At 36.0% G+C, this 20104-nt stretch overlaps 1 long non-coding RNA gene across 1 annotated transcript in view; it reads left to right on the top strand.

Annotated features, from left to right (window-relative positions):
* The window catches only part of LOC105369302 (uncharacterized), a 104389-nt gene extending 84592 nt beyond the window's left edge, over positions 1-19797 (top strand). The window contains exon 3 of the long non-coding RNA XR_001754972.2: positions 15946-19797. This is a non-coding gene — a long non-coding RNA (uncharacterized LOC105369302). The remainder of the gene's footprint in view (positions 1-15945) is intronic.
* The last annotated feature ends 307 nt before the right edge of the window (positions 19798-20104 follow it).

Genomic DNA, 20104 nt, shown 5'->3' with positions numbered 1-20104 from the left:
CAAAGAAGCACTGATTTTCTGATTATTAAATGCTGACATTATATTTGCTAATAAATCATTCATTTATTCTGTAAAATATTTACTGATGCTTAATGAATGTTAGACTCTGGGCTAGGCAGTGGTCCCTGCCTTCACAAAGCATATAGATCAGTTATAACAGAGGTAGAAGTTCTCCAAGAGCTCTGAGGTGTGGGTGTCAGTCTTTTAGCCGTTGGTTCTTGAATCCATTCCTTGCCCTACTCCAGCTCTGCTCTGTATCTCAGGAGACATAAACTTTCAGGCTACATTTCCCAGGCTTGGCAAGATTTTGGCTGAGTTTGACGGAAGAAAGGACTCAAAAGGAGAATGAAAGGTGGGAGGATTGTAGAAGCCAATGTACTTGTCCTCTTGCTCTATTCAGGTAGCATTTTGGAAACAGCGGCCTCTTTTGCATGGCTCCAAATTCTGCTTGACAGGCTCAGCTTCTGGTTTCTGGTGTGTGAGCTCATAAGAGCTGAATCTCTGCATCTCTTCCCAGCTCTGCGTTTAGTGAAATGTTGGTATCTTGAAATCAGCCATGGTATGATATTAACACCACAGAAATTGGCAGTAAAGTTTTGTTTATCCCTAGAGAGCTGGATGTTAAACATGAACCAGTACACCACTGTTTCTAGTAATGATGCTTCTACTGGTTCCTGAAACTCTAGAGGTGGTAGTTTGCTCTCTTCTGTTATTCCCTCAGTTGCCTCAACTTCTCAATTGTTTCTTCCTCTGTACAGTTATTTCCTTGTATTAAATCCCTTAGGCTGGAATAACTAGAGTAGTTTTATTTTTCTGATGAGATTCCAATGGATATTACAGGGCATCTAACCTGGACTTGAATATTTAAACATTGGATATACAGGAAAAAATCTTCAGAAGAAGTAAAATATATACTTTTTAAAATTTAATTTAATTTTAAGTTCTAGGATACATGTGTGGGACGTGCAGGTTTGTTACATAGGTAAACATGTGTCATGGTGGTTTGCAGCACCTATGAACCCATCACCTAGTATTAAGCCTCTCATGCATTAGCTATTTATCCTAATGCTCTCCCTCCCCTTGACCCCTGACAGGCCCTAGTGTATATTGTTCTCTCCCTGTGTTTATATGTTGTCATTGTTCAGTTCCCACTTATAAGTGAGAACATGTGGTGTTTGGTTTTCCGTTCCTGTGTTAGTTGGTGAGGATAATGGCTTCCAGCTCCATCCATGTCCCTGCAAAAAACATGATCTCATTTCTTTTCATGGCTGCATAGTATTCCATGGTGTATATGTACCATATTTTCTTTATTCAGTCTATCATTGATGGGCATGTGGGTTGATTCCATGTCTTTGCTATTAAGACTAGTGCTGCAATGAACATACGTGTGCATGTATGTTTATAATAAAATGATTTCTATTTCCTTGGTTATATACCCAGTAATGGGATTGCTGGGTCAAATGGTATTTCTAGTTCTAGATCCTTGAGGAATTGCCACACTGTCTCCCACAATGGTTGAACTAATTTACACTCCCACCAACAATGTAAAAGCATTCCTATTTCTCCACAGCCCCAGCATCTGTTATTAAAATACTTATTTTTAAAAGATAAAATGAACATAAGTTGGTAATAAGATGCAAGGATAAAGAGAAGGGATGATCCAGCATCAGGCCTAGATTTTTGGTTTAGGAATGTAGGTGGATAATGGTGCAATTTTTCAAGAAAGAAAGCAAAGGCAGAGGGTTTGGGCATGGAGATGGAACTGATGAGTTGAGGTGCTTATAAGATCCCCAAGGATAAATATGTCCAGTAGGGTTCAGTGAAATCTACAGCACAGAGGGGATGTCATTTCCTGAAACCCTCCTACTCTTCCTAATCCCTTAGTTGCCTTGCTCAGTAGATTATCTTATTTCCTTTCTGTACCTTCAAAGTGCTATCCCAGCTTTCATTTGTATGTGCTCAGTTCTCTCCTATCTTTAAAAAAAATAAAAAAAAAAAAAAAAAAAAAATAAATAAATAAACCCTTTCTTATTAAATTCCATATTTCCCACCAGCTTCTGCTGAATTTCTTTTTTTTCCCTTCATGGGTAATTTTGTGTCCATGATAGCTATTTCTACTTTCTCCTTTCCCATTCCTTCTTAATCCATTGAAACCTGGCTTCTATCCCCACTCTCCTGAAAGTGATCTTGGCAAACAGCAATGACTTGCTTATTGCTGAAGCCACTCAGCTCTGAGTGGGCCAGATGAGTGGCCAGTACATAGTAAATATTCAGTAAATGGGAGTTGTTATTATTATGATTGGGCTGAATTAATTTCTTAGTGTCACTGCTAAATTTATCTCAAGAGAAATTATCTTTACAATTCATCACTTCATGAAACCATTTTATTTCTTAGTGAATTCTTCTTTCTAATTACCTATCATTAAAACAACTGGAGAATTCAGTGAGGAAAAATAACATCAATTACTTAGCATTCCATGAAAAAAAACAAAAATGTAAACTCTCAAAAACTGTTTGAGTAAAATTTTCACCTTCCTACTAGTTGTTTGTTTCATTACACAGAGAGAGCTTCAAAGGATGCAAATTGCCTTAGGGGAACGACAGATTAAACATTTTTCTCCAAACTTTCTGTGTTTTCTTGCGGTTTCCACAAATAGCTAGTACTCTTTAGTAAGGAACAGAAATGAAGAATAAGGGTCATTTACTAAAGTGGCATGTTTGGTTTACAGTCTGGTAGTTGCAAAGAATTAGTGGTGTATTCACATTTCAATAGCTCACAGCATAAAAGGCATGGCTATAGTGATGAGCATTCTCTTAAATCATATCTTTGCCTAACTGTAAAAGAGAATATACTTTAAAACAACTCTGCTACCTAAGCTTTCAGTATCTTTCAGAGGAAGGAACAAGATCTATAAATGAGATATGATACTTTATTTTTTTACTTTTTCTTTGGCTTTTTAAAAATAGCAGTTTCTACTTTGTAGACAATTTGAATTTTGAAAGCCAAGCTTTGCCATGTGGACATTTGTAATCATATATGCTTGGATTTCATCCTGTGTCACTACCAATAAACCTCATGTTCTGAAGCATAAAAACCACAAGGCAATCTTGAAATGGTCAGTAAACTAGCGTGCTTTGTAATGTAACACCCGTGGTTGGAGTGCAGGAAGATTTTTAGGGTTCATTTAAGGGCACACTTAACATAGTATTTCTAATTAAAAGATTATGATGACACAATGATCCATCTCTGTTAGATCTCAAATGAAATGTTAAAGTTGATAAATGAATTACAGATACAAACCTATATTAGTCTTAAAGAAATAAATGATCCATTCTTTTAATAAATAAAGAGATAGAAGGAGACCTAATGCCATGCTTATCTCAGATGTTCACCCACAATCTCTCTTTCATCACATGGAGAAGCTCTAAGGAAAATGAAAAGCAGTGCTAAATGGAATCCGTCTTACACAAATTGCAGAATTTTAGTAAGAAAGTTCAGAAGAAAGGAGCGTTTTAATTTAACATGAGGCACATCTGTTCTCATGTCTTCTCCTGCATTGTTCTTGTTTCTTTGCGCCCTTATATTCACCCAATTCGGTTATACTTGACTGCAGGATTTTAAAAAGCGAATGACCAATCAGGTAAGCTTACAAAAGAAAGAAAGGCAAAAAAAGCATCAGTGCATAGTTAAACACACACATGTGCACACACGCACACAGATTGTTTTGATGATCTCTTGAAAATTTCGAAACTGTCCCTGTTTTGCTGACCAATATTAAGTTTCCTTTGATAATTTCTCCTCTTTAACAGACTTGGGAAATAAGTAACCTTTTCTAACACATGGCATTATTTCTGCAGGTCAAAAACATCCATTCTACTTTAAGGTATTGAGGCAAAGAAGAGAGCCTCACTCAAGTCATTGTGCGCCGCAGGGTTTCTCTCAGGACACGTGTGTGGGAATCAAGAAAAACTGAACCATCTGGTCAAGGAATCTTGGGAATTCTGGAAGAGCTGTGCACCCCAGGACAGGAGCTGAAAATCTTCCTTACATTTCATTCTCTTTCAAATAACCTGCAATTTTGCATAGTAGGCATTCACAACTTTAACCACTTTTCATTTGCCATATTCAGTCTGATAAATTAACTGATTAATGAATCCTTTCTTCTTTCCTTCATCCTTTCCTACCTCCTTTTCATTCTTTCCTCCTTTATTTCCTTCTTTGGTTTTGCTACCTGGACACTGTGCAATGTTGAGTAAGCTACTTAGCTCTTCTATGCTTTAGCTTCTTCTCTAATTGAAATAGTAATATTAACATTAATAATAATAATATATCCTCTAGGGCTGTTGTGATGATTAAATGAGTTAATACATCTGTAATGCTCAAAGTATTGCCTATTACAAGAGCTTTAAATGTCATTTGTCATTATTAGTAGTTACTTTTCTTTCTTTGTTTTCCTTTCATGAGAAGTATATAAATCTATTCTTGTAAAAACATTAAATGGATACAGAAATATGTAGAGTACAATGTCAAAGTTTCATTTTCTTACTTCCCATAGACACTATCCTTGGCAGAGATTACAACTTGATATATATAATTTTAGTTCTCTATCTAGATAATTACATGCATGTATGTGTTAAACACATACACACCCCTATATATAAATACTCACGTATTCTTAACATAAAAGTGAACATATCATTTGTGTCTTTTTTGGCAACACCAATAGATCTTAGATATTTTTCTATGTTAAAATACACAGTTCTATCATATACTTTTGTAGAATAAATGAATTTATCAAACATACATTTATTCTTTACAAGACATCACTCTAGGCATTGGGGATTTAGTGATAAATAATAGATAAATTGCTTGCCCATAAAAGTTTTGATTCTAGTGAAAGATATGGACAATAAAAAATGTGGCTTAATATTTAATATAATGTCAAGAGAAGGTAAATTAGACAAAGAAAATAAGAAGAGAGAAAATATAGAGAGGTTTGAGGCCAGGTTGATGAGGAAATTTCTCCCTGGGGGTAACATTTAACCAGAGATGCTGGAGAGAAGGAATCAGCCCTGAGAATGGCTGGAGATATGAAACGAGCAGAGGAATGAGCAAGTGCAAATGCCAGTGAGTTCTGAAGCAGGTGAGTGGTGGGGAAGGAGAGAAGAGATGAGTTCAGAAATGCAGGGACCAAATTATATAGGACTGCGGTTCAAAGTAAGGATGTTGGGTTTGATTTTATTTCTATTGAATCTCTGCCTTTCTTCTAATGAATGAAAATAACATAGCCTACTTCACCCTAATGATGGAAATGTATCTCTTTTGAATATTACAATGAAAATCCTTGCCTCATCTTTGTGCACCTGTGGCTATTTTTGCAAGTTGTCTTCCTGGAGTAGACTAACTGGGTTAAAAGGTGATGAGCATAATGTAAATGCTGGTAGATGCTGTCAAATTGCCTTAATAATTTTTGTATTCCCACCCATGGGGCGTGGAGGTGACCATTTCCCTTCATTCTTTTCAATATGAGATATTATCACCCTTCTTATTTTCAATAATATGAGACTTGTCACTCCTAATTTTCAACAATCCAATGGGAATAAAATCATGTCTGTCTCTTTTTTAGCTTGCATTTTCACTGTTAATAAAGCAGAAAAGGCTTTACAGGTTTATTAGCCAGTTTGATTTTTTTTCTCTTATGAGTAGCCTATGATCACATTTGCATTCCAGGTCATGCTCTGGCCAGGTTTTGGATTGGCTGCCTTTGAGTCAAGTATTCACCCTCAATACAATCAGCTGTGTCTGGAGATTGGGGTTACATATTACAAAACATAGCTCTTTAAGGCTGCTCTTCAACATGGGCTATAAGTAGCACATGATAACCTATAAACTCTATGGGCAAAGCAGTTACCCTGACTAATGCCCAGTACAATTTGATGGTGAGTGAAATTAGAAATATAACACATTATTTATTGAGCACACACCGAAAGCATCTAAGCTCTACTTTACATGTTATAGGTGACAAAAAGTTACACAAGACAGTGTCACTATCCTCAAGGAAAGACAAATTCAAAACTAATTATAATTCAGAATCCAATGTATTCTGAATTCCCCAAAATGATACTCACCAAATGATAAAGCAATTCTGAGAGAAAGGAAATCACATTCAGCCAGTAACCCTGGTAAGGTTTAGTGGTAGTAATAGTCTTTGCCTTCGATTTTGAATAGGTATAGGATTTTTTTAAGTGGCTATATTATTTTTGTAAAATAAATTCATGCGAATACATGACATAAAAGACTGAAGTAAAAATCAGCTATAGTCCCCCACTGGGAGAAAACCACTTTATTTTTTAGCGAATGACTCAATATTTTTGAGAAGGTCCCACCAGACATCTGTGTGTGTGTGTATGTGTGTGTGTTCATATGAACATATGTGAAGTTTTACATCAATAGGGACTTTTTTTTCTTCTGTCACTCTTTGGTACATTGGCCAATGCAGATACTCAGTATATATTTTTTGAATGAATGAATGTTTTATAGCTTGCTCTATGTTAATAAAAGGTATGTCTAACCAGTCATGTTTACTGACTGCATAGTGTTTCATTACTTGTGTAATTTATTTAACCAGGATTCTATGCAAAACTTTTAGGTTTATGTTCATCTGCTTTATTTTAAAAAACCTGATAAAATAATCTCCAGCTAAATCTATTTTATATGGATGTAACTATCTCCCTAGAGATAATTTCTAGGAATGCATTTTCTATAGGAAGGATAGAGCATATTTTAGAGCATAAATGGTGCATAAAACCAAACTTCTGTCCTGCATGGAAATGTGAATTAAATTTTCAACAAGATGTGGTAGCACATGATTTTACACGCTGGCCAAAACCAGGTTTTAAAAACCTTTTGGTGAAGAGAAAAACAACAGATACTGGGGCTTAACTGAGCAGGGAGGGTGAAAGGAGGGACAAGATCAGAAAAAATAACTATTGGATACTAGGCATAGTACCTGGGTGATGAAATAATCTGTACAACAAATCTCTGTGACATGCGTTTAACTATATAACAAACCTGCACACATGTACCCCTGAGCCTAAAATAAAAATTAAAAAACTGATTACATTCTAGTCACTTATCATGTAGCAAAAAGAAATAGATAATTGAAAGTTGATTCATTTTTTAAAGTGGTGAACACACGATAAGAAAGTCAATAGGTAGATGTTCTTAATTATTTATTATTATAAATTATGGTAATAAATTTTTTTTGGTGTATGTGGAAGTTAGAAATTCTAGTTGTTATTAAGTATGTGTCAGGAGGTAGAGGGGGATTAGAAGTGGGTATACTGTTTAGAAATATCATTTGAGATAAGGTTTATTTGGTCTGATTTGGAGGATAAGAATGCTTTAATTTTGTGTCTTTTACATGTTTGTCCATTTATTTTACTAATTTTATTCTTGGAAGCCACAAGCTGGTTCGATATTTCTCACACAGGAATCAAAGTGGACATTCAGATGCACAGTGTATCTCCTTGTATTCCATAATGAACAGGGAGTGGAAACTGAATGCTTATCTCTTTCTCTTTGTTAAAACTATGAGACTATGCTGAATTATACAACTTCTTAGTAAGTTACAAAACTACATAAGCAGTTTAGCTATACCGTAGTGTAATTAATCATGAATCAATTTTCAGTTATTTCAGAAGACTTTTCGGTGTATGGTTGTGCCACTTACTCAGCTATTGTCTCTCAGCTCAAACCACATTTCTATAATTGCTTCATGATCCTGAAGCTGGAACTCTGCAAACCTTATTTCTGCTTTGCCCCCTGATTTCCTGTTATGCTCTGCCAAAAGGGGGCACAAGACGGAGACTAGGACTGGAGGAGAAAGAAGGAACCTGGTCTTTCTTATTTACTCCTTGTTGACTTCCTGTCCGTTTGCAGTTCCTGTAAGCATCATTTTGGCAGCGCTTCTTCACCCAGGCAGGAGTAGTAATTCTGTATGCAGTAGCTGAATTCAGTTAACAGTTTTTTAAACACTTGTGAAACAAGCTTCACTGTGTCACAGTTAACAATCACCAGCATCTGCTAACAGTATCCTGTTTTCTACAGTCTGGGTCTCAGCCCCTTGGGACCGCTCTTCCAAGCTCAAAGACACCAGAATCTGTTGAGCAACTGAACCAGTAGCCCTCCTCAAAGCCCTGAGTTTCAGTTATGCAAGACCCCTCCTCTAAGTTTCTAAATTTTAATAAATCCAATCATGTCCCTTAGTTTTTTTAACCATAAGGATGGTATCTGCTTCCTACATTTGCTGCCTCCATGATACATTAGCGTCCTCTTTTTATCTTTTCAGTTCCTAGTTCACAACTTCATACCTGGTTGACAATTATTTACATTACATTCTCCCTGTTCAAAATCTCGTATGTTTTCCATCCTCTCACCTGACCCTGATGGAGACAATGGTCGTAGACGAACTGTGGGAGTTTTGTATTAAGTGTATGATAGTAGAAACCAAGTTTTGTGTTTTTAGAGAACAAATGTTAATTCACAGCTACTATATATATATATATATATATCTCCCTAGAAGGATTCTACGAGACAGAGAGGATGAAGAAAACCAAGGAGTGAGGCTCATTCATTAAGTGTGATTGAATAAAATGTGTCCATAGAGCATTGCCTTCACCACAGAGAGACTCCAGAAACCTCTTTGCATGTTTTTTTTCTTCAATGTCATAAATTCACATCTCCACAGCAGTAGCAGGATGGATTTTCTTGATGTAATCTGCCTAATAATGGGTTGTTTGTAGAGCCAAGGTGTTTCAGTGACCTGGGGTTATTCTGGAAGCTGCAATTACCTGCAGAGAATAACCGCTGAAATTCCTACGTGGAGAAATCCAGGGAAATGTCACAGAGGTGCATCTTTGAAATGGCCATGTTCGTACACTATGGTTGAGGGCAGGATTTCACGATTTACAGCAGTGAGATAAAATTCCTATGTACAGTGACTGTGGTCTTAACAGCTTCTTTACTTTTGATATTCATTTTCTATAAAGTTTTATGGTTTTAAAATTTCAAGTTAACCATTAAAGCTCAACTATGTTAAATAATCATTAAGAATCAAGCTCATAGCTCTTCTGAAAATCAAAGTGATTGGAGAACTACCTTTTTAACTGTGTTCTAGTGAAACAAGCTAATTGACCTGCTTATAGACACAATTTCTTTTGTGCAATTAGCTCAAGGTTGTATCCATTCACCTGGAATCCTCTAGAAGTAAGCCCTATTAGACTTCTTCAGTTATTGATGATTTTGGATGTAATTTCATCTGCTTTTGAAAAAAGGTTACTAAACATTTCAGATATATTCTTCCTGTCTTACAAAAGTAGACACAGTGCAGCATCGAATGTATTTATGTCTGTGATACATACTAATTTTCCATAAAGCTATGTTTGGGGGTTTTATGTAGATTATCTTATCAATTGCAAATAATGACAATTTTGTTTTCTTCCCTACCATTTTCCACTTACTTCTTCAGCTCTATTGCTTCCAATGCAATGTTGTATAGAAATGGTGAGAAGGAGCATACTTATCTCACACCTGATTTTATGGGGAATAATTTTAAAATTTCACTACTGAGTATGTTGTTTACTGCACTCTTTTGATAAATCGCCTATATATCTATTAGAATTCAGTTCAGGAAACAAAAATCACTCTAGATGTTACAAGGAGGGAAGAATATAACAGGCACTTGAAAGGTCATTGGAAGAGCTGGAGGAGAGCATTTTGGGGATAAGGGGTGATGCTGAAATTTCATTTCACAGTCACCTACCTCAGGTGTCATCATAGGTCATATAAGCAAATTTGCTGCCACTGTCACAGTTGCCTCATACCACAAATATAGTACCCAAAACAGAGAATAATGAATGAACATATGTTACTAGTTCTTATTTGTTAGTAACTTTTGCCAAAGGAAGATGCCTCTGCTCTTTTATTAGTCAGCATCCAGAACAACCACAGAAATTACTTTAACACACGTGATTCCATACAAATATTTTAAAAGTAAGTGGTTGTTAATGTAACTCAGAAGAGGAAAAAAATATAAAAAACCATTAAGTTGTGGAAATAGCAATCGCAGGCAGCAGTGACCACTCCTAGCCTTAGTGAACAAAGAGAAGAAGTTAGAATCACTAAAATTCAAAAGCTTTGTTGAAGAAACTTGTGGAGGTGAAACTGACATTTCAGTAGATGAAGCTGGTTGGCTGGTGATCAGTTTCTTTGAGGAGGATTTAGTTAGGCCATTTCTACACATTTTGGGGGAAAAAAATCCAGCTAGATTGAACTGCAGCTAAGGAAAGGAAGTGCCTCCCCTATGGTATAGGAAAGAGTCTTGTAGCAGGTCTGATGTTCCTCTTCGAAGGGCTTGCTAATCCTTGGCTGGTGTCTGAAAACTTGACTTTGGAATTTTCCTTTTGTTACTAAAGAATCCGGCTGTCTTGTATGCCTCAGGCACTGAGTCCTCCTTGCCTATACTGTGCAAACAGTGTGATTGATGGTAAATACCTGCTTTCCTCCTAGGAGTCTAGAACTTTGATAATCATTCCTGGCTACACCGGGAGAAAGTTCTGATGTGACCTGTCCCCCAGTAAAAACCTTGAACTCTAAATCTCAAGTGGGCTATCCTGGGCAAAATCCCAGCACATATATTGCAGCATTTTGTTGCTAGAACAAGGAATGTGTTCTATGCAATCTATTCTAAGACCTACCTGGAAGAGAGATTTTGCCTCGACTTTCTAGACTTTGATGCATCTTTTTCCTTTGCTAACCTCACTGTAAAATCATATGAACTCCCTTGTAAAGCTGTCTGGATTCTGTTTCCATTTGTAAGTTTTAGAATTTCTTTCTCAGTGTTGTTGAAGGAATGCAACTTTAACTATGAAATCAAACTGCATGATTGAAGCTCTATTCAGATTTTCTATTTCTTCTTCACTCATCAAGCTCATCTATTTAAACATTAACATTTTTTTTACATTGAGGTGTTGTTTACCTACAACAAAATTCATAAGTTTGAAGTATGCACTTTGAGTTTTGAAAAATATATAGAGTAGTGCAATTACTGCAACAATTATGATATAGAACATTTCAATCTTCCCGACAAAATTCTCTTAATGCCCCATTGAAGTCAATTCCCTAACCCACCCTACCCCTCATAATCACTGAGATGCTTTATGTTATTATACTTTGTCCTCTCCATAATTCCACATAAATGGAACTATAGAGTATATAGCCTTTAAGGGCTGACTTTTTTCACTTAGCACAGTATTTTTGAGATTCATCTGTTAAATTGCTAAATATTATTTCTTTCTACATACCACAATTTTAAAACTTATTCACCAGTTAATGGATATTTGGATTATTTGTACATTAGGCTATTATGAATACAGTTTGCTGCAAATATTTGTTTGCTAGTGTTTGTGTGGAAATCAGTGGGTTTTTTAGAGAGGCTCAATTTCTAGTAGTAGAAATGCTATTATATGGTGTATTAGTCTGTTTTCACACTGCTATAAAGATACTATATGGGACTGTAATTTATGAAGAAAAAAGGTTTAATTGACTATCAGTTCTGCATGACTGGGGAAGTCTCAGGAAATCTAGAATCAGGTGAAAGGCAAAGGGGGACGCAAGACACATTTTATATGGCAGCAAAAGACAGAGAGCATCCAGGGGAAACTGCCAGACACTTGTCAAACAACAAGATCTCGTGAGAACACCCCCACTATCATGAGGACAGCATGGGGAAACTGCCCCCATAATCCAGTCTCCTCCCACTAGGTTCCTCTCTCAACATGTAGGGATTACAATTAGAGATGAGATTTGGTGGGGACACAGAGCCAGACCATATCATACAGTAGGTTTTCAACTAGCTTTATTATAAAGAATTAAACTGCTTTCCAAAGTGACTATGAAATTTTACATTTTCACCAGCAATATATGAGTGCTAGAGTTGCTTCAAATCCTCTCCAACACTTAGTATTGTCAGACTTGTTAATTTTAGTCATTCAAGTAGATATATACTAGTAACTAACAGTAGTTTTAATTTGTATTTCCCTGATGCTTTGTTTACTGGCACTAGTGTATCTTTACTGAGGTATGTGCTCAAACTATAAAAGCAAAAATTGATAAAATGGATTCTAACAAAATTAAACCTTTTGCTTTTCAAAAGATACTATGAGGAAAAATAGAGATATAAAAAGCAATTGGAAAATATATATCTGATAAAGTATTTATATCTAGAATACGTAAAGACTTCGTACAACTCAATAAGAAGACAAATAACATTATAAAATAGGAGGTTGTATTATAAAATAGGAGGTTGTATTAGTTCATTCTCATACTGCTATAAAGATAGTACACGAGACTGGCTAATTTATAAACAAATGAAAGAATTTTAATTGACTCACAGTTCTACATGACTGGTGAGGCCTCAGGAAACTTACAATCATGGTGGAAGGAGAAACAGACACCTTCCTCACAAGTTGGCAGGAGGGAGAAGAGTGTGTGAAGGAGGAACTGTCAAACACTTATAAAACCATCAGATCTCAGGATAACTCACTCACTATCACAAGAACAGCATGGGGGAAACTTCCCCCATTATCCAGTCACCTCCCTCCCTCCACACGTGGAGATTACACATCTCACCTTTGACACATGGGGATTACAATTCAAGATGAGATTTGGGTGGGACACAGAGCCAAACCATGTCGGGGTCAAAGATTTGAGCACATACTTTTGTATTTTTTACTTAAAATGTATCTTATATGCAACATATAGTTTGTCCTGCCTTCTTAAAAACCCAGACTAATGATTTCTGTCTTCTGATTGGCATGTTTAGTACATTTATATTTAATATAATTAAAGATAGCATTCTATTCAGGTCTGCTATTCAACATTTGTTTTATTTTGGTTCGTTTATTTGTCTTATTCACTTTTTTATTAGTTTACTTTTGTTTTCTTCTTTTTCTGTTTTTATGTTAATTAAGCAATTTTAATATTCCACTTTAATTTCTCTCTTAGCCCTCCTCAATATAGCTTTGTTTTGTTTTATTTATTTATTTATTTTTCAAACAGAGTCTTGCTCTGTCACCCAGACTGGAGCTCAGTGGCATAATCTTGGCTCACTGCAACCTCTACCTCCCAGGCTCAAGTGTTTCTCTTGCCTCAGTATCCCGAGCAGCTTGGATTATAGGCCTGAGCCACTTCTACTGGCTACTTTTTTTGTATTTTTAGTAGAGATGGGGTTTTCCCATGTTGGCCAGGCTGGTCTCGAACTCTTAGCCTCAAGTGATCTGCCTGCCTTGGCCTCCCAAAGTGCTGGGATTACAGGCATAAGTCACCATGCCCAGCCTCTTTGCATTTTTTAAGGAAGTTGTTCTAGACATTATAATATGTATCTGACATGTATCCCAATTACTTAGAGTTGAAGATGAATTATTTCAGGTAAATCTTAGAAAACTCACAACAGAATAGTTTTTATTACCCTGAGGATAGATTCATACTTTCCTGATTTTTTTCTTTCTTTTGTACATAGTCTAATTTTGGATTAAAATCTGGATATTATAGGTAACACACTGTAGCAACTCTAGAGTCATCATATTGTTCAGAAGATTGGATTTTAGTTCTATGATTGCGTTACGTTGCCTAGAATCAATCTAGAAACTTTGCCCGCTACTCATTTCCCATGGTAGACAGCTGTTTATCATTCCAGCCCATTCTAATGTCTTCCTACTGTTGCTTTTAAAGCTTCTCCCCCTGTTGATTTCCTCCATGCTTGTTAAATTTGGGCAGAGATGAGGAACTAGGCAATGATTAGGATCATTCTCTCTGTTGTTTTCATGTTTCTATGAATTTTCCTAATTTTCAGCTGTTCTGTCAGGTTTGTCTTTAAACTTGGACACTTCAGGCTTTTTACCACCCAGGTTGCACATAATTGGAAAATTCAGTTAAAGAAAAAAAGAAAAGCATGTAGCTCACAAATTTGGATCCACGTTGCTCTAGCTCTAAGGAGCAGATTTCTCTCTGGTCTCTGCCTGCTTTTTCATAATGCTCCCCTCTGGTTTTCCAGCACATCAATAGTTTTGCCAAGGATTTTGGCAGTCTATGCTGTGAATTTGGGTATCACGGTTCCCCACACATTCATATAACTTCCTTCCTTTACTTGCTTCCTTAATTAAGCATCATAGAGTTTTATAACTGGAAAGTATCTTAGAAAGAATGTAGTCACCTCATTTTATATGGGAAGCACCAGGAGTCTCAAAAGGTAAAATGAATTGTCCAGGGTCACCGAGCCAGTTAATGGGTTGGATTCCTAATTCAGTCCTGATGAGTAGCTGTGATGCTGGCACCGGGAGCACTGTATGGTTCTAATGCAATTGGATTGTGCAAAAGATATGAAAGATACCATCCCAGTCCTCAGTACACTTGTATCTTTTTTAGAGAGATCAAATGTACACAAGAAAGCAAATCGTTAACAACTACAAAACCAACCTCACTTCTAGTTCAAAATAATATACTTACTAAACACAAACTTAAGAGTGATAAGGCTACGAGCTCAGGCAACCAACATAGAGTGCACTTGCCTTAGCACCCTAGGAAAGAAGACATTTTAATATATCAGAAATCCATGTAGTATTACTGTATTTCTTCAGACTACAAATGCATGATGCCAGTAAATGCATAATTCCTATGGCACTGGTAAGTGTCAGAAGGCTTCTGAAATTTTTCCACTTTGAAATTTTGGCAAATTAAATTTGTTTTAAGTGCTTGGCTTTCAGTGTCTCTCTCTAATATGAATCCACTACAAATCTCTTTTGATAGAATGTTGGGTTACATTTCCAGGCATATGAGATATAAGGACTAATTTTTAGGAACTTTCAGTTTCCTCTTCATCCCTGCATCTTTACATCTATTAATGGGAAAGGCATAACTTTATCTAGAGTATTCAGTGTATCATGCAAGCTCTTGTATGTGTATGAAGAATAGAAACTTTTTCTAATTATTTGTTCTATGTAGCCTTCTTTTTATAATGAAGTGACATAAGCATAAATTGTGGTTCTAAAACATGTGAATTGATGAATTAATCAAGAAGTGAATAAGTTAAATAATGATGATATAAATATTTAATTTTTGATTAATTTGTAGCATATAACATAATTTTATTTAATTCCAAGTTTATATTCAAGGCTAGTTGTTACTTTTACAGATATGTTCCCTTTAGTTTTTGTTTAAAGCCTTGGAATGGTTTATAATATGAATTGGGTGAAAGTAATAGCATATTATAAAAACAATCCCTTTCAAACTCTAGAAGCAATTAAAGCTGCATTCGTTAACCAATTTTTTTATCTGAATAAAAATCTTTCTGAATGAAGAATTTTATTTTGCAACACTCCTGCAAAATTCCTCCTTGTTTTTGGATAGACAGCAGGCAGGCAGCATTCTGTTGCCCTTGTCAAATGGTCAAATGTCTTTTGATTCACAGCAATGGAAGGAAACGACTTTACCACCTTCTTCCTCTGGAAAGAAGGGAAGGATGTTGAGGCTAGAAGCAGCGATGTATTGGGCTGATACACTGATTGAACCAAAAGCCTTGTTCAAAGTGTGATATTTTGGCAGGCAGAGAGTTGTAGGGAGTGTTACATAATGGGTTCTGCAAGTGGCCACAAACTTATTTAAGTAAACACTTACTGGAATTAATATTTATTGCCTGGGACATAAAGTGATTGCAAAATGCTTGCAAGAGCCTGAAATGATAAAGGCTTTCTGTATCCTGGGCCAGAAACTGGAAAAGAGAAGTTTGTTGATGGTGTTTATACCCAAATATTATTTGTAAGGATCAGAAAGCAACTATTATGGTTAAAAGTAATGTAGCTAAGATTTTTTTTTTCTTTTTTTTGCAGCGAGCAGTTAAAGTGAAAACAAGATCACGGAAAAGGAGATATATTTTGGTAGATCCAAGAATCTATGTTTGATAGAGTCTTCACAGAAAGAGTCGAAATTGACAACATGCTTATTGCTTTGGCTTTGGATGTTGGTTGGGAACATGGTTCTTGAATATCCACACTTCAAAGTAGATCTTACTTTTTGGAAGAGTAGAAAGCTCATTACGTTGGTTAATTTGAGAAGTAAGACAAGGGCTCAGAAAGGTACTAGTTATTAGTACCTTATACACTAGCCTGCCTGGCATTCTTACCATGACAGTGAATTGTCATGGTAAGAGTTGTGGTTTTAAACCTCTTTTCCCCAGATGTTACATGGAGTAATATATGTATCCACATACATATTAAAGTAGGAGGTAGATATTATATTGACTGGTGACTTGAGGACATGATACACAAAATAGGTAACGTTTGATGAAGCTTGAAATGAGCCAAGAAAGGACAAATCTGGATAACACACTGTAGCCTTGGTGATGAGAAAGGAGAAAGGAAAGATAATGAAGATGGGTATCATATTGCTTTGCCTTGAATTTGCAGAAAGAGATATTTGGATTATGATGTTACCTTAAAAAAGGCAGTTGATATTACTCAGTGAAAGTTCAGAAGCCAAGAAAACTATGTGTGTGTACATATATGTATATAATGTACATATGTTTATTTCTTTTTTTAAAAAATTCTTACCTACCTCTCTACTATAACAAAATTAATTTCATTCTTTTTTGTTGCATTTAAACTTTATCTTGGTAATGTTCATATTACAAATTTGCCTATATTGTTGGTATTATATTGTTACTATATAGATATATTTGTAAGCATAAATGCTTGGTATTCAAATGTTTAACTAGTAATATTCATATTACAAATTTGCATATATGTTTGGTATGATATTGTTACTATATAGATATGTTATATTTGTAAGCATCAATGCGTGGTATTCAAATGTTTAACAACTCTCCATTTTTTTCTCAAGTAACCCTCTGACAAAAGGCTGTATTTATATAAAACTGACAGATTTTTATGGTGGATCATTTTTCTTACATTAATTACATAGGTAGTATTATTTTAGTTGGAGGTCAAATAACATACTATCAATGACAATTTAGAGATAAATTGTTTGAAATCCTGATATGGAAGAGCTATAGAAATAACATGGGTGACCTCACGTTTTTAAGATAGCCTCTCTGCACCATATGGCTAGTCCCAAATGGAGATCAAGAAAGCAAGGTCATTTTTAATCTCTACATACATCTTGCTTTCCTGGTTTAACACTAATCATTCATTGTATTCTGCATATTGGAAGGGAGCAGATGAAGGATACTAAGAATTCACTTTGAAAACATGTACTCAATGTTTCATATCCAAAAACTCCCAGGGATTAAACAATCAGAAAACCCTACATCATTTGCATTTTAATGGATACAAATAAGAGTTGAAACATTTCTTTACACTTAAACTACCATGAACAAGCTTATATAGCTATTAGGAGTGAAAATGGGGAGGAGGAGGAAGAAGGGGACTCTGAAATTTAAGGAAAATTCATTTCTTTTACAGAGTTGGAGCTAGGCTGATTAAGTCAAGGTGCCTAACTCTGCTAGAGACACATTTTCCTAATGAAAAATACTGTAACTTCAGACTTTTCACATTTTCCATGAATAGATGTCATTACTCATTATCACATTTATCATTACTTGTAAAACAATGAGGTGGCAGCAGGGGGGGAAAGGACTAAAATAGAATTGAAAAAAAAATTGGTACTAGCTAAGGTAATTTAAATGAAGCTTTTTTTTTTCCAGAAGCAAAGGTGACCTCCATGATTACTCCACCATACCTTTGGGAAACTGACATAAGATAGTGGACAACTATAATGGAAAGAATAGTGACTACGGTTTCTCTCCACCCTCCTCTAATTCTGCATTAGAAATGAAAAAAAGCTTGACTGGTAAAATTCTGAAACAGACAATGAGCTATTTAAGTGATAATTACTGAATCTCATTTTTAGAAGCCCATTAACAGGTATCTCTTTAGTCATGAGAAAATTATTCATAAATATTAAATTGTGTGATCACATTGCAAGTTTCTTTCAAATTATAGAATCTGACTAATTTCACAGTAACTGTTTGCCATTAATTGGCTTTAAGATTTAATCAAGTAAAGACATCATTGTTTAATTCTAATTTGTAAAGCCAAAAAAAGTGTAACATTATTATCTTTAGTCAAACTTCTTCAAATGTTTATGCAAGGTAGAAATTGAAAACAACAGGTACTCCTGTGCTTACAGTTTCTCCAGTTCAAAGAACAAAATTCATCAATGGGAAGCTGCAGTGGATTGTAGAGTAAAATCTTGCTGCCCAACTAGAGAATAAAAAGAGTTTGACCAGACTTATAACAATGACATAATGGCCATTTTGTTGAGTTCTTAATGAGTTTAGTAGGTAGTGAAATGGGAAAGGTTCCCTTGTCCCCCTTGCAGGGTGTGTGGTGGGGGTGTAGCTTGCTTCTTCAGTGCCCCACTGCTCAAACTTCTAGGGGAGCATACAGATGGGCAGGTTGTGGGGCTCCAACCCCACGGCAGTGTCTAGGGGTGAATGTTTACAGCTCCTGAAGTGCCAGTGGGCGTGTGTTACAGGGTGCTCTGTTAGTTTGCCCTCTCTAGGCAGCTTGTGTTAACCAGCTCAGTTGGACTTTGTTGCAAGGATAGAAGACTTTCTGTATCTCCAGGTTCTTGCCTTGGTGTACCAGAAGAATCAATCACACATGGTCTTGGAGAATGAGTGCAAAGTTTTATTGAGTGCAGGTAGCTCTCTGCTGCTCTTCCACCAGTATGCTCTCCACAACCAGCCGCTTGTGTGTTCTTCCACTGATGTGTCCTCTCAATGTCCAGACGCTTCTGTCTCTGCCTTGCTAGGATCTTGGGCTTTTATAGACCTTGGATGGGGAGGTGGTGAGCCAGGGTGGTCTTGGGAAATGCAACATTTGGGCGTGAAGTCAGGAGTGCCTGTTCTCACCTAGGTCCGTGGGGGTAAAGCCCTAGCTAGGGACCATGCCTTCCTCTACCCAGCACTTCCCTTCCTCATTCTGTATCATTTAAAGAGACCACACTCCTCCCTTCCCAGCACTCCTGTATCAGTAGGAAGATAGAAGAAAACTCTAGATCACCATCAAGTTCAAGTCATTTCAGATTTTCAGTGAATATATGTTTGCTGTGTCCTTCAGGTACCAAGATGCAGGGAAATGATTAAAAGGCCCTGAGATATACAATACTGAATGGTAGGGAGGAGGAGGCCTTCTAGGTTGGAAAGTCCCGTAGCTGACTAGCTACTAAATGTTCTATCAGCTATTGATAAGACCGTGTTCAGAACATACGGAAATTGTAGGATATAATTTTTGTATGTTACTTGTCACCAGCTGTTCAATATTATGAATTATTCCTGAGACATTACAGAAGTTGAGAATGAATTGTGCCCATAAACAGAAAACATATTAACCTATACAATACACTCGTTTTCCTTTTAGAGACACGAATACCCCTAGCTCAAGGAGTCGATATGTATAAAATAGGCAACTAGGGGCATGCAAATATTGTGGAAATGGTGTTTCTGATTGGCACTGGCAGATTTATTATTCGAAATAATCCTGTTGGCAAAAAAAGGAAATTTTTTTTCCGTATCATAAAATCTGATTTCAAAAACTTGCTCCTTTTTGACTTTCTCTATAAGCTTGTAAGTCTGCATTCTTCTCTCATTTTTATATCCAGGCTCTATTGTAATTTATCTGTTGCTAACCAGTTTTCAATAAAATATATAATAAATAAGATTTTCGGTTTTTATTTTTCAATGATTCAGTTATTCATAAAGCTGATGGGAGATAGGAAATTAAAGTTTTCCGCAAGCCTTCTTATAAGACTGTGGTTGTGTCTGTAGTCTTATTTTTTTGATGACTGTGAACATTAATTAAGCTATAGCTATGCAGGTTGGAAGGTCTATTATGGTCTGAATATCTACAAATTTATATATTGAAATCCTAACCCCCAATATGATGATATTCAGATATTGGGCCTCTGGGAAGCAATCATATCATGAATTCAGAGCCCTCATAAATGAGATGATGTCCCTTAAAAAAA

The sequence above is a fragment of the Homo sapiens genome, chromosome 21, assembly GCF_000001405.40.
Source record: "Homo sapiens chromosome 21, GRCh38.p14 Primary Assembly".
NCBI classification, from domain to species: Eukaryota; Metazoa; Chordata; class Mammalia; order Primates; family Hominidae; genus Homo; species Homo sapiens.
Note: the sequence above shows the minus strand (reverse complement) of the source record. Positions and strands in the feature narration are given on the sequence as shown.